Here is a 14,831-nt window from a genome sequence, read left to right as displayed (position 1 = left end):
CAGACAATGGTATAGAGAAATACTTGCCTTGCTTACCCCTGCCGCTAGTGTTTGTGGACATAGTCACACACCTCTTGCTTGCTCAATCTATCACGACCTTTTCACGTGGACTTCTTAGAGTTGTAAGCCCTTAAAAGGGCCAGGAACTCTTTCTTTGGGGAGCTCGGTTCTTGAGACGCAATTCTGCCGATGCTCCCAGCTGAATAATGCCTCTTCCTTCTTTAACCTGGTGTCTGAGGGGTTTTGTCTGCAGCTCATCCTGCTACGTTAGTAGAGACGGGGTTTCACCACTTTGGTCAGGCTGGTCTCGAACTGCTGTCCTCAGGTGATCCATCCGCCTCGGCCTCCCAGAGCGCTGGGATTACAGGTGTGAGCAACTGCACCTGGCTTATTATTCCTAATTTTAAAAGGAGTACTTCTAACGTTTCTCCATTTAAGATGATGTTTATTACGCATTTTGTTTGTTTTCTTATTATCCTTACCTTAAGAAAATTCGCTTTATTCCAGTTAGCTATCAAGTTTTTAATTATAGAAGTTGAATTTCTTCCAGAGTAGACGAGAGACATGTCAATAAAATCAATGCCTAATGCTACCTTATATCCTAGATGGGAAAAGAAGCTATAAAGCACAAAACAAATGGAGTATCTCTTATCCAAAATGCTTGGGTCCAGAAGTGTTTCAGATTTTTTTTTCTGGATTTTGAAATATTTGCATATACATAATGAGATATCTTGGGGATGGGACCCAAGTCTAAACATGAAATTCATTTATGTTTCATATATATCTTATAACTTTTAAATAATTGTGGCTGGGCGCGGTGGCTCATGACTGTAATCCCAGCACTTTGGGAGGCCAAGGCGGGCGGATCACCTGAGGTCAGGAGTTCGAGACCAGCCTGGCCAACATGGTGAAACCCTGTCTCTACTAAAATACAAAAATTAGCCGGGCATGGTGGCATGCGCCTGTAATCCCAGCTGCTTGGGGGGCTGAGACAGGAGAATCACTTGAACCCGGGAGGTGGAGGTTGCAGTGAGCCAAGATGGTGCCACTGCACTCCAGCCTGGGCAATATGGTAAGACTCCGTCTCAAAAGAAAATAAAGTAATAATAATTTTGTGCATGAAACCAAGTTTGTGTTAACGTTTATGTGTGGAAATTTCCACTTGCGGCTTCATGTCAGTACTCAAAAAGTTTTGGGTTTGGGAGCATTTGAAATTTCATGCTAAGGATGCTCAACCTGTACTGGGACAATTAATACAATTTGAATATGTATTATGAATTAGTTAATAGTAATGTACCAATGTTATAGTTCCTGATTTTGATCAGTGTTCTGGGGTTATTAAGATAATGCCTTTAAGGTCAGAAACACATGCTGAAATACTTAAGGTGTGAAAGGAAAATAAATTGTGGGATCCCCAAATCACTAAGCCAAAGGGAAAAATCAAGCTTGGAACTGCTTAGGGCAAACCTGCTTCCCATTCTATTCCTAAAAAAGATAGCTACTAAGATAAAAAAGCTACATACCTCACTCACAATTTGTCCACAGGGAAATTCCTTGCGGACAAAGGACAGACAGAACTCAAAGTCATCCCTCTGCTCACTAAGATAAATGCATATCTGATTGCTTCCTTTGGAAAGGCTAATGAGAAACTAAAAAGAATGCAACCATCTGTCTCTTATCTACCTATGACCTGGAAGCTGCCTCCCCGCTTCAAGTTGTCTCACTTTTCCCAACCAAACCAATGTACATCTTGCATGTATTGATTGATGTCTCATGTCGCCCTAAAATGTATAAAACCAAACTGTGCCCTGACCACCTTGGGTACATGTTGTCAGGACCTCCTGAGGCTGTGTCACGGGCATGCGTCCTTAACTTTGGCAAAATAGACTTTCTAATTGATTGAGACCTGTCTCAGATACTTCCAGTTCACAAAGGGTAAAGTAAAGGGATATCTCCAACTTCCTCTAAATGACTCAGAAAACTTTCAAGGAACAGATTATTTCCTTCTATTTTGTGGCTCTGCACTTCTACTGAATTATGATCTGACATGGCTTCTCAAGTTGCAGCCATGATAAGCATTCCAGTCAGCCAACAGGAAAGAAGGGAGGAACAGCAGCATGCCAGCTTCCTTTTACAACACTACCTGGAAGTGACACACTAAAATTCCACCTATATCTCATTAGCCAAAACATAGACATCTGGCTACATTTAGCTGCAAGAGAGGCTGGGAAGTGTATTTTTAAATTTATTTTAGCCCAGCTGAAAAGCAGAGGTTTTATATCTAAGGAAAAGGGGAAGAGCAGACACTGGGGCCAACCAGCAGTTTCTTCCACAGCTCCATACTGGGTGAATTATATGACACAATGCATGTAAAGTCCATGGTACTTAGTAGGATTCGATTATAGCATGTCATTTCATGATTTGACTTACATTATCTAATTCGATTCTCACAGTAATCATATGAGTAAAGACAAACATTAATATCTTAATTGCAGATTAGAACACTAAATTGCAGATTTAGAAAACTAAAATTCAGCTAATTATGATTATCGTTGGTAGTATTTGTTTTTTTGTTTTTTTTGAGATGGAGTTTCGCTCTTGTTGCCCAGGCTGGAGTGCAATGGTGCGACCTCTGCTCACTCCAACTTCCGCCCTCGCAAGTTCAAGGGATTCTCCTGCCTCAGCCTCCTGAGTAGCTGGGATTACAGGCACCTGCCACCACGCCTGGCTAATTTTTTGTATTTTTAGTAGAGATGGGGTTTCAGCATTTTGGTCAGGCTGGTCTCAAACTCCTGACCTCAGGTAATCCACCCGCCTCGGCCTACCAAAGTGTTGAGATTACAGGCGTGAGCCACTGCACCCGGCTTTGTTTTTTGTTTTTTGGGTTTTTTTTTTTAGATGGAGTCTCACTCTGTTGCCCAGGCTGGAGTGCAGTGGCATGATCTCGGCTCACTGCAAGCTCCGCCTCCTGGGTTCAAGCGATTCTCCTGCCTCAGCCTCCCCAGTAGCTGGGACTACAGGTGCCGGCCACCACACCCGGCTAATTTTTTGTATTTTTAGTAGAGATGGGGTTTCACTGTGTTAGCCAGGATGGTCTCCATCTCCTGACCTTGTGATCCGCCCGCCTCAGCCTCCCAAAGTGCTGGGATTACAGGCTTGAGCCACCATGCCCAGCCTTCCTTGTTTTGTTTTTAAAGAGGGAGGCAGTAGAGTTGAAGGGAAAGGAGCAGTGGCACCATTCAGGAGCCCCAGATTCTCTAGACAGAATCTCTCCCTGTCAAGTCCTGTAATTCTATGTTTTGTGACTTTCCCAATTTGGCACATAAGTCTGCAAGGGACAGAACTCAAGTCCACTGACTGCCACCACTGGACACTTTCCACTGTATCCCATGTCAAACACGTTGTTGGAAATGACATGGGTCTTGAGAAGCTGCCTCTCCTTCCCAAAGTAGAAATGTGAACAAATAAATCATCACATGATCCATTCACTGACAAATAAAAGCCAGCCTTTATTGAGCACATACTACATGCCAGGCACTCCACTAAAACTTTCCTCACATTAGCTTACTTTACCCTCACAACAACCCCAGGAGACAGGTAGGCTTATAATCCCTTTTTCTTCAGAAAAAGAAACTGAGGCTTAGAGATCTAATATATTTTACAAATATTTAAGAAGAATAATATGTGTACCCTGATTGATCCCCTGGCTGCCACCACAGTCTGTGCAAAGTATTTGATTTTAAGTCATACTTCCATATTGTGGATGACACTGCTTGTTGTGTAACCAATATCCATTCTCCTGTTCTTTGTTGTGAATAGGTGCAATATTTTAACGGGAAAGTTGATAACAAGTGGTGCAGACAATTCTATAGAAATGTAATGTAGAAATATACAATAACTATGTTATTAATTGCCTGCTTCAAGAATGGTACTTTAACCTCAGTAGTTTATAGAAACCACAAGAGAGTATTTCACTTGATTGTGGACAGTTTAGAGGCAAAATTTAGGTGTTTTGCAAAGGAGATGGAGATTCAGGGACTCTCAATTATTGGACAAAGCGTCTACAGTCAGAGACAATAAAAGTTTGATTTTCAGCTGTTTATTGGGTATTAGGCAAAATTCTCTTGCTGTTTCTAGTGTCTGGTGGAGATATCAATTTAAAGAGCTCTTCAGAGTATATTCTATGTAGTCTTCCTATCTCTCACATCTGAAATTCCACCCACCTATAAAAACTGGTATGGTTATAAAGTTGATAGAATATGAGTACATCTGTTACCAACTGTGTTTCTTTTTTCTTTTTCCTCTTCTTTTTTATGGTTTTAAAATTAATTACATAGAAGACTGCCTTGGCCTCCCAAAGTGCTGGGATTATAGGCATGAGCCACTGCTCCCAGCCAACTGTGTTTCAGTTGGACAAAACGTGGTAGATTCAGATATTTTCTGGGGTGTTTTAGCACATCAAGTCTGTCACACAAATGCAATCAACTTCTGAGATCTCACAAGCTATTTCTGTGAGCCCACTATTAGCGAGATGAGACAAAGTTTAGAGAAATCCAGCCTCTTGAAACAGCTGTAAATCATCTAGTAGAAAAAAAGTGGAGTTTTGGCTGGGCACGGTGGCTCACACCTATAATCCCGCATTCTGGGAGGCCAAGGTAGGTGGATTCCTTGAGGTTAAGAGTTCAAGACCATCCTGGCCAACATGGGGAAACCTGTCTCTACTAAAAATACAAAAATTATCCAGGTGTGGTGGTGTGTGCCTGTAATCCCAGCTACTCAGCGGGGTGAGGCAGGAGAATTGCTTCAACCCAGGAGGCAGAGGTTGCAGTGAGCTGAGATCGAGCCACTGCACTCCAGCCTGGGCGACAGATAGAGACTCTGTCTCAAAAAAGAAAAAAGCAAAAAAGTGGATTTCTGCAAATGTTTGTATATATGTAGCATGAGTAAAAGCAGTATTGCCATGAAATTTTTAAATTGTAAGTTCCAGGCAGGGCATGGTGGCTGACACCTCAAATCCCAGCACTTTGGGAGGCTGAGGCGGGTGGATTGCTTGAGGTCAAGAGTTCGAGACCAGCCTGGGCAATATAGCGAAAACCCGTCTCTACAAAAAACACAAAAGTTTGCCACGCATGGTGGTGGGCACCTGTAGTCCCAGCTACTCGGGAAGCTGAGGCAGGAGAATCACTTGAGCTCAGGAGGCAGAGGTTGCAGTGAGCCAAGATCACGTCACTGCATTCCAGCCTGGGTGACAGAGCGAAACTCTGTTTCAAAAAAAAAATAAAATTGTGATTTCCTTTAATAAATCAACTAATTAATCATTATTAATCATGTTTTATGTGCCTAATAGTTAAAATACAGGGAGAAAATCATGATATGATTCCTACCCAGAATTTGCTTATATGGGGACAAAAACCAGGTACACTTAAAAATTAGTCAATGAATAATTAAAATATAAATATTTATAAGTTAAGCCTTCAAAATATCTTGTATGCGATAAATACATAGAATTTTATCTGTCAAAAAAAAAAAAGTTGTCAAGTATAAAAATTTAGTGAAAGTAGACCAGCACAGACTGGGAAAACCAGGCCAGTTATATGTGTTCATTGTAACATTCCAGACAGTACAGAATGCACAGTATAGAATTCTGATTACATTCCAAGCAATGTTTTATGAGGGGTGCTGACTCTAAGTGTCCTTAGTGTGTAACCTTGGGCATGGCACCTAATCCCTCTGTAAACTGGAGTTGTTGTGAGTAAATAAGAGAGTAGGTAACTGTAAGAATGTCAGGAATTGCTATGGGCAGTTGTGAGATGATGCTTAAACTCTAAAGACCCCAGAGGCTTGGGGACAGGATGAAAGACTTGTATTTGTGATGCTAATAATTAGTATAATTGGGTATAGAATGAGTTGACTCTTGTTTGAGATGTTTTTCAGAAATATAGGAATTTTTGCATATGGTTGAGGGTGATGATAACTTCTATAATCCCTCCCAGCTTTGAAATTCCCAGGTACATAAATCAAACTTGCAGTCATGAAGAGTAAATGGTAGGCCCCAAAGTGCATGGTTACAGGTGGGTGTTAGGCTGGAAAGAGAGTCCTGGGGCTCTTTTTAGATCCTAATAATAGATGTTCCAGAGAACATCTCTAATTTTAAGACATGTTTCTGCACAATGCTTTGCTTGAATGAATTGAGGTAACAGCAGACCACTTCTTTCCCCATTCCCAATCCTTTAGGTACAGAGGGGAGATTTCTGGAGAAGTGAATGGTTATCTATGAGTTATTACAAAGCCAGCTCTGTGTGGGTTCAACTGCTTTGTAGAAGAGGGATTGATCTAGACACATGAATTGATTTTTTTCAGCATCTCTTCCACCACCGTCATCTTAGGCTAAGTTACCACCATCCTGAACCACTTCAATAGCTTTTTAAACAGCTCACCTAGATTCACTCTGGCTCACCTCTGATGAGTTCTCCACTCAGCAATTTGAATGGCTTCCATACTCCTTGGATAAAAACAAATTCCCAACATGGCCTATAGCGCCCTATATGGTGTGGCCTTTTCTATCATTCTAGCCTCATCTTGCTCTCCATTCTTTCACTGGCTTTCTTTCTATCCCATCCTGGGGCAAATGCTCTTCTCCACCCTCATCCCCATGTGAACTCCTACTCATACTTTAGATGTCAGCCCCAGGTCACCTCCTCAGAGCAGCCTTCCCTGACCAGACTGAAGCTCCCTATTATAGGCTCTCATTTGGCCATGTAATGTGACTTTTCTTTATTGCACCTGTCAAAATTACAATTTCATATTTCTTATGATTATTTGATTTACAGTTTAGTGCATTTGATTCATGTGTATCTCCCCCCAAGTCTTCATAATGTCAGGACAGTATGTCTGGTTAGTCACCATTTTATCCAGTCTCAGCACACTGCCAGGCACATAATTGGCACACAAAAATTGTTGCTGAGTGAATGAATGAACGTAATCTATGATAATATTTTCAAATATCCTATAAAATGAAGTTGAGTAAAAAGTCAAATGACTTTAGAAAACACTTTATACCATATTATTTAAGCCTCCATCTCTACCCCCCACACACATATTTTCATATAAAAGACTGTCAAATCCTGCAGTAAAGAAGCCCTCAACTTATTTGACCACAGGATATAAACCAGGACCTACTGGGGGCAGCACTTCTACTTAAGAGAGACAACTTGGATGCCAATGCTAGTGCTGTTTCTGGAAGCAGCAAATGGCAGGAAGTGTTCTAAATGTGTACTAAGAGAAATTTCCCAAGAATTGGCCAGGCACGGTGGCTCATGCCTGTAATCCCAGCACTTTGGGAAGCCAAGGCAGACGAATCACTTGAGGTCAGGAGTTTGAGACCAGCCTGGGTAACACTGTGAAATCCCATCTTTACTAAAAATACAAAAATTAGCCAGGTGTGGTGGTGCACACCTGTAGTCCCAGCTACTTGGAAGGCTGAGGCACAAGAATTGCTTGAATCCAGGAGGTGGAGGTGGAGGTGGCAGTGAGCCGAGATCACGCCACTGCACTCCAGCCTGGGTGACAGAGTGAGACTCTGTTTAAAAAAAAAAAAAAGAGAGAGAGAGAGAGAAATTTCCCAAGAGTCAAGCTGCCTTGGGAATCCAGGCAAGTCTAGGATTTAAAATGTTTTAAATGGCGCCACAAGCACAAACAAGTTCTACAAATAGAACCTGCACAGTTAGCTGAAGAATGGACTCTACTCAGCACAGTATGTAGCACAGTAAACATTTGTTTGGTGAATGAATGGAGAGAGAAAGTATCTGGGGTGATCACACCTTAGCTGGTGGTCTCATCTTTTCATAGAAAATACAATTTTATTGTTAAACCTAAAATTCAAGTGTGAGTAGATCTTTATGTGTGAGCATTTTAACTGGCTATGTAGTAAAGAGTGAGGCATAATAAACCTGCACCATTCACAGGAACTTACATACCTAGTAACTGGATTTAAAGAAGTACCATGAACACGCTGAAGACAATTAAATACTGATCTTGTTGGTTTTGTGATAAATGTTTTGTCCATCGCTGCTAATGCTAGGACTTAATATTAAATTCAGTTTCATCAAATCCAATGTTTTCTCTTTCTTTTTCACCCCAGTGCTAACCCTCTTTGATCTTTTGGTATCTTTTTGACAGTGTCACAACTCCTCTTTCTTTAAATTCTTTCTGCCCTTGTTTCTGTGACCTGCACTTTCAATTCAATTTCATTTCAACCAATATTTATTGGTCATCTATGCTGTGCCAGACACTGGACTATCATCATTGGTTTATTAACTCATTCCTCCACATTAATTGAGTTCCTACTGGGTGTTGGGCACTGTGCCAGTGACGGATACAAAGATGAACAAGATGTAGTCCCTGACCTTAGAGGCTGCACAGTGTAGTGAAGGAGTCAGCTAACTATATCATGGAGTGGAGAGGCTGTTATAGAAGTGCACACTCAGGGCCTGTGGCCCTCAGAGAAAGAATCGATTACTTCTCTATGGGGGGAGGGGGTACATCGCATAGCACCATGCCTGGCACGTGCTAAATTTTCAACAAATATTTGTCAAAGAAACAAATAGTCTTCCAGGTGGAGATAACAGCACAAACAGGGATCTCTAGGGAGCCCTCACTAGCTAAAGTAGTGGTTTTCAACACAGTGAGGCAGAGTATTACGTTCTCTGGAGGCATGGAAGGGGATGGTGAAGGGAACAATGTGTATCTGAAGGGGGATTGCATATGAAAAATGTATTCCTACTGTTGCAATTTAACTTATAAATTTTACAAACATGCATATTTAAAACCACATTACATAAAATATTAATTTATAGATTCAATTTTATACATTTATATAACAAGAATGAGAATAAAATTATTGTTTTCATAATATGAATTACAGAAATTAAAGCTCAAACTAGGAAAACTGGATAAATATAGGTAAATATAGAAGTTCCAGAGGTTCTGCAGCAAAACCATTGTCTTCTTGAGGATGGTGGTGAGATTTTTATGTTTAACAAAAGGGGGTGTAGAATAATGGGCTCTGAAGGACTGTATTTTGTAGGTTAAGGTTTGTCAACTGGTGTCAGAATCAAAATCAAAATCACCTGGGGATCTTGTTTTTTTTTTTCCATTTTATTTTATTTTTATTTATTTATTGTTTTTGTTTTGGGGATGTTGTTTTAAAAAGCAAATTCCTGGATCCTATGTGTTACATAACAATAGGGATACATTCTGAGAAAAGCATCATTAGGTGATTTCATCGTTCTGCAAACATCATAGAGTGTATTTAAAGAAACCCAGAGAGCATAGTCCACTATACACTTGGGCTATATGGATAGCCTATTGCTCCTGGGCTACACACCTGTACAGCATGTTAACGTACTAAATACTGTAGGCAATTGTAACACAGGAGTATTTGTGTATCTAACATATTTAAACCTAGAAAAAGTATAGCAAAAATACAGTATTATGATCTTATAGGACCATTGTCCTGTAAGACAGTGTTCGTCATTGACCAAAATTTCATTATGTGGCTCATGACTCTGTGTGTGTATACATATATATATAATTTATTATAAGGAATTGGCTTATGCAATTATAGAGGCTCAGAGGTCCCGAGATCTGCAATCAGCTAGCTTGAGACTCAGGAGAGCTGATGATGTTAATTTCTTTTATTTATTTTTGAGATGGAGTTTCACTCTTGCTGCCCAGGCTGGAGTGCAATGGCGTAATCACAGCTCACCACATCCTCCGCCTCCTGGGTTCAAGTGATTCTCCTGCCTCAGCCTCCCAAGTAGCTGGGATTACAGGCATGTGCCACCACACCCAGCTAATTTTTTGTATTTTTAGTAGAGACGGGGTTTCTCCATGTTGGTCAGTCTGGTCTAGAACTCCTGACCTCAGGTGATCCGCCCGCCTCAGCCTCCCAAAGTGCTGGGATTACAGGTGTGAGCCACCGCACCTGGCCTCAATGTTAGTTTCATTCTGAAAGTTGGCAGGCTTGAGACCCAAGAACAACCAATTTTTTAGTGGGAATCTGAAGGCAGGAAAAGACCCATGTGCAGTTCAAGTGGTCAGGCAGAAGGAGTTTCCTTTTACTCCTTTTGTTCTATTTGGGTCTTCAATTGATTAGATGAGGTTTACCCACATTAGGGAGGGCAGTCTGCTTTACTCAGTCTACTAGGTCAAATGTTAGGTGTATTTTTGTTTGTTTTGTGACAGAGCCTCACTCTGTCACCCAGGCTGGAGTGCAGTGGTGTGATCTCAGCTCACTGCAACCTCCACCTCCCAGGTCCAAGCGATTCTTGTGCCTCAGCCTCTTGAGTATCTGGGATTACAGGTGCCTGCCAGCATGCCCACCCGGCTAATTTTTGTATTTTTTGTAGTGATAGGGTTTCCCCATGTTGGCCAGGCTGGTTTCAAATGCTTGGGCTCAAGTGATCTGCCTGCCTCAGCCTCCCAAAGTGCTGAGATTACCGGTGTGAGTCACTGTGCCCGGCAAATGTTAGTCTTACCCAGAAACACCCTCACAGACATACTCAGAATAATGTTTGACCAAATGTCTGGACGCCCTGTGGCTCAATCAAGTTGACACAAAAATTAACCATCACACAGATGATTACTGATACATACTGTGTATCATATAGATGCTTTTGAATGCACACTGTAATCTGAGGACCTTTACAAGCCATTAGGGACCATGGAAGGTTTTCAAGAAAAGTGATTTGATCAGATTAGCTGGGAACTGCTTAAGAAGGATCCCTGGTGGCTATGTGGAAGGTAGATAGTGATAGGGTAGGGTAGGTGAAGCAGGGCAGAGTGGGGTGGAGCAAGACTGGAAGACAGGAAGGTATTGTGCAAGACAGAATGATGAGGTTCTATTCTTTTCTCTGCTAATGACCCTTTCCCCCTTACTATTGCTACATAACAAGTTACTCCAGTGCTTAGCAGCTTAAAACAATTGTGGGTCAGAAATCTGGGAAGGGCTCTGCTGGGTGGTTCACACTTGAGGTCTCCCTCATAGTTGTAGTTGGATGTTGGTTGGGGCTTTATTTATCTTGTCTGTGCTAAGGTAAATAAAGATGCATGGTTGGCAGTTGATGCCAGCTGTCATCTGCTGTACACAGCCTCTCCAGCAGGGTAGTCTGGGGGTAGTCAGACTTCTTACATGACATATGGCTTCATTTCAAGAGAACCAGGCAGAAGTCTCATGGCCTTTTCTGATCTAGCTTCAGAAGTCATACAACATCTCCTCTACTGTACTCAATTAGTTGAAGCAGTCTCAAGTGGTCCAGATTCAAGGTGGGGTGGGAGGAATTAGACTCCACTTCTTGATGAGGGCAATGGCCAGTTGACAGTATAGAAGAACATGTGGGATGGGAACACGTGTTGTGGCCATCTTTGGAAAAAACAATCAACATAGCTCCCAAATTGACTTATTTTATATACACAATTACCCCCAAGATATCTCCACTTGGAAGTTTTGTTGTCAACTCAAGTCTAAAAGAGAATTTATCACAACAAACCTCCATCCCATTATTATTATTATTATTATTATTATTATTATTATTGTAATATGATAACTTTTTAAAAAAACAGACTAAAACATTTTTCTTTTCTTTTTTCTTTGAGACAGGGAATTGCTCTGTCACGCAAGCTGGAGTGCAGTGGTGCCATCTCGGCTCACTGTGACCTCTGCCTCCTGGGCTCAAGCCATCCTCCCACCTCAGCCCTTCAAGTAGCTGGGATTACAGGTACACGCCACCATGCCCATCTAATTTTTGTATATTTTGTAGAGACAGGGTTTCTCCATGTTGCACAGGCTGACTAAAACCTTTTATCTTTGACTTTTCTCTCTCTGAAAATAATCTGCTACAAAGTCCTATTTTTCCTTCTTCCTTTATGTTGGTTCCACATCCCACTTTCCTAATTCTGGAGTGGGCCCCTAACTGAAGTCCATTTATCTAAATTTCTAATATTGGGTTCCCTGGGAAGTGAACTCTGAGGCAGAGCTTAGCATGCAGGGTTTTTCTTAAGGGGTTACTTTGAGATGGACACCTGTGGCAGGGAAGAGAAGGAACTAGAATTGGGAAGGATAAAAAATGGAGCTGCAATACAGGCCCAACACAGCCTCAGCTGACTCAGTGAGGAGCTCTGGAGTTAGAATGTTCCTTCAGAGTTGTCCCACAATGGGCTAAGACGGATGAGCTTTTATGTTTCTGCATTGTCCAGTCATTGGATGGGCCACCATGGAAAGGAGCATGAGCTTGGGCAAGGCAGCTCTCTGCAGTTGAGGAAATCCCCGAGTGGCTGACAGCTGCTGGTTGTGCACTTACAGCACTCCCAGGAGCTGGAGCAACAAGTCCTTCCTTCATTCAGTCTTCAGTAAACTTCGTTCCACATCATTCTCTCCTGTTGACTTACCCTCTGATTATTTCATGGCCGCTATTTTGCCCCACTCCAGTGCAGCTAGGTTATGAGCTCCTTGAGGGAAGGAATGGAGGCCTGCCTTTTCCCCACGATATTCAGCACAGATGAAGTACAGATATATGTATAGTCAGAGCTCAAAAGGTGCTTGGTAGTCAGTTAACCAGGGCTTCGGACTGATGCAGAGATTGCTGACCGTACTGTTTGTATTACCATTACCATAGCAGAAGAAATACTTTAGGGGACCTTCACCTCATTGTCTTTCTGAGGGAGAAGAAAACTAACATCCTTGTTATTAATAGCTGCCCAGAGCTTGTGGTGCTGGGCAGGGAGTGGCAGCAGGTCCCGGAAACATTGCCTCTCTGATTCAAGCTGCATCTGAGGTCCTACTCCCCACCCGGCCTTTCCCCTCCACGAAGTAGAGCTGGGATCCTTCTGGTTCTCACAGGGTGCTGTGTGCATTTAACTAATTAGTGGCTATAAAGTGTTGTCCAAATGTCAAGTATAGTTATGGTTAGCAATTACTTTTGCCTGGAGAGGCAGCATTCCAGCCATTGTCGAGGGAGGGAGATAAGTGATAGAGTGTTCTATTAGAGACTGGGGGAGCAGGAGCTGCTTTCCTGCCCTCAGAGGGTCAGGAATCTGGATGCAGCTTTCACACACACACAGGACACACCTAAGCAGGAATCCCCTGTGGAGTCATATTTTTCTTTATCGATTCATTTCCAATGTGGAAAGAGAGAAAAACATTTCTGAAGTGCACTGCCCGGAGCCACCATCAAGGTAGCTTCTTAGAGTGTGGTTGAGCTCTGAAAGCCACTCATGAAGACCCCCTTCCCCGGGCCCCTTCCCCGGGCCCCAGAGATGTTGTGGGTGAAATCCACCTGCAGGTTTTCTTGCCACCCCCACAGCGTTACCTCAGCATCTGAAATTTAACAATAGCCTCTGCAATCATAATAATACATTAAAAATAAAGTACTTTGGGGCTCCCTAAATGGAAATTTCTATGTGATTTTTATATTTAGAATTCTTTCTCTCCCTCTGGGTAAATTTTATAAATAACCATTGGGAATGTTGAACAGAATTCAATTTCCATATTGATTCTCTTTTGTCTTTTCACATAGGAAATACCAAGCAATTTTTTGTCACGTGACCTTTTCCCATGAAGGTTTATAAAATTAGATAATGTAAATTGGCAGGTAAATAGGAAAGGAAGGAAGAAAAGAAGGAAACAATGATGTGGAAATAAGCAATGGTTTGCTTAGAAAGAAATGAAATTCCATGTTCTATCTTGAGATAAATACAGGTTCATCTCACTATCCTGCCCGTTTGTAGTTAGAGTTGGAGGCTATACTAGCTAACATTGATTGAACACTTGCTGCGATCCACATAATTCTCAGGTACCTCCTATGTCTTATCTCATTTATGTCTCACATTAACCCTGCAAGTAGATATTATTATCAACCCATTTTATAGAGTAGAAACTGAAGACTCTAGAAATTAAGGAATTTACCACATGTCCATCTGGCTCCAGAGCCAGCCAGGGCTCCTAACATCACTCTGCTACTAAAGGCTGGGTGGGGCATGCCGTGAATGTGTAGGGATTGTCATTTCTAGAAACAAAAGCCAGAGCACTGTAAGTTCCTGGGATCAATGAAGATTCCTTCATGCCAGCTCACTATGGACACCCCAGAAGCATTTTTGACCCTCTTTACCCCAGGACTATGCAGTCTCAGAAGTTTCTTGGTGAAGCTTTCCTGTGTCTAAGTATTGAAACTCTAATTGAAACTTGAGTCCATGTCCATTATTTACACTAACTCAGAAATAACCTTAGAAAAATATATATATTTTTAAGGGATAGGGTCTCACTCTGTCACCTAGGCTGGAGTGCAGTGGCTGATCATAGCTCACTGCAGCCTCAACCTCCTGGGCTCAAGTGATCCTCCCACCTCAGCCTCCCAAGTAGCTGGGACTATAGGCATGTGCCACCATATCTGGCTAATTAATTTTTTGTTTTCGTAGAGACAAGGTCTCACTATGTTGCCCAGGCTGGTCTTAATCTCCTGGGCTCAAGCAATTCTCCCTCCTCAGCCTCCCAAAGTGCTGGGATTATAGGCGTGAGCCACTGCACCCAGCCCAAAGACATTCTTTTATATAAAAACCTACAGGCAAAGTTTTTCCTGACACATCCCTCCCCCACCCCACACCCCAGTCTAGGGCAGTTCTTGCTACCCATAATGCACTCTTAGAGCATTCTAGTCTTTTCCTTCATAGCATTTATTGTAGTTGTGGATTATATGTTGGTGTGACTATTTGACCAGTATCTCTCTGCCTCACCAGGTTGTAAAAACCCCATCAGGGCAGTGACTGAGTGTGTGTCA

At 42.1% G+C, this 14,831-nt stretch overlaps 1 long non-coding RNA gene across 1 annotated transcript in view; it reads left to right on the top strand.

Annotated features, from left to right (window-relative positions):
• The window catches only part of RBM15-AS1 (RBM15 antisense RNA 1), a 52,797-nt gene that overhangs the window by 8,630 nt on the left and 29,336 nt on the right, over window positions 1–14,831 (top strand). Inside the window, exon 2 of the long non-coding RNA NR_036595.1 lies at window positions 11,660–11,777. This is a non-coding gene — a long non-coding RNA (RBM15 antisense RNA 1). The remainder of the gene's footprint in view (window positions 1–11,659; window positions 11,778–14,831) is intronic.

Source organism: Homo sapiens, chromosome 1 (genome assembly GCF_000001405.40).
Source record: "Homo sapiens chromosome 1, GRCh38.p14 Primary Assembly".
Lineage (NCBI taxonomy): Eukaryota > Metazoa > Chordata > Mammalia > Primates > Hominidae > Homo > Homo sapiens.
The sequence above is the reverse complement of the archived record's forward strand: the minus strand, read 5'-3'. Positions and strand labels throughout refer to the sequence as shown.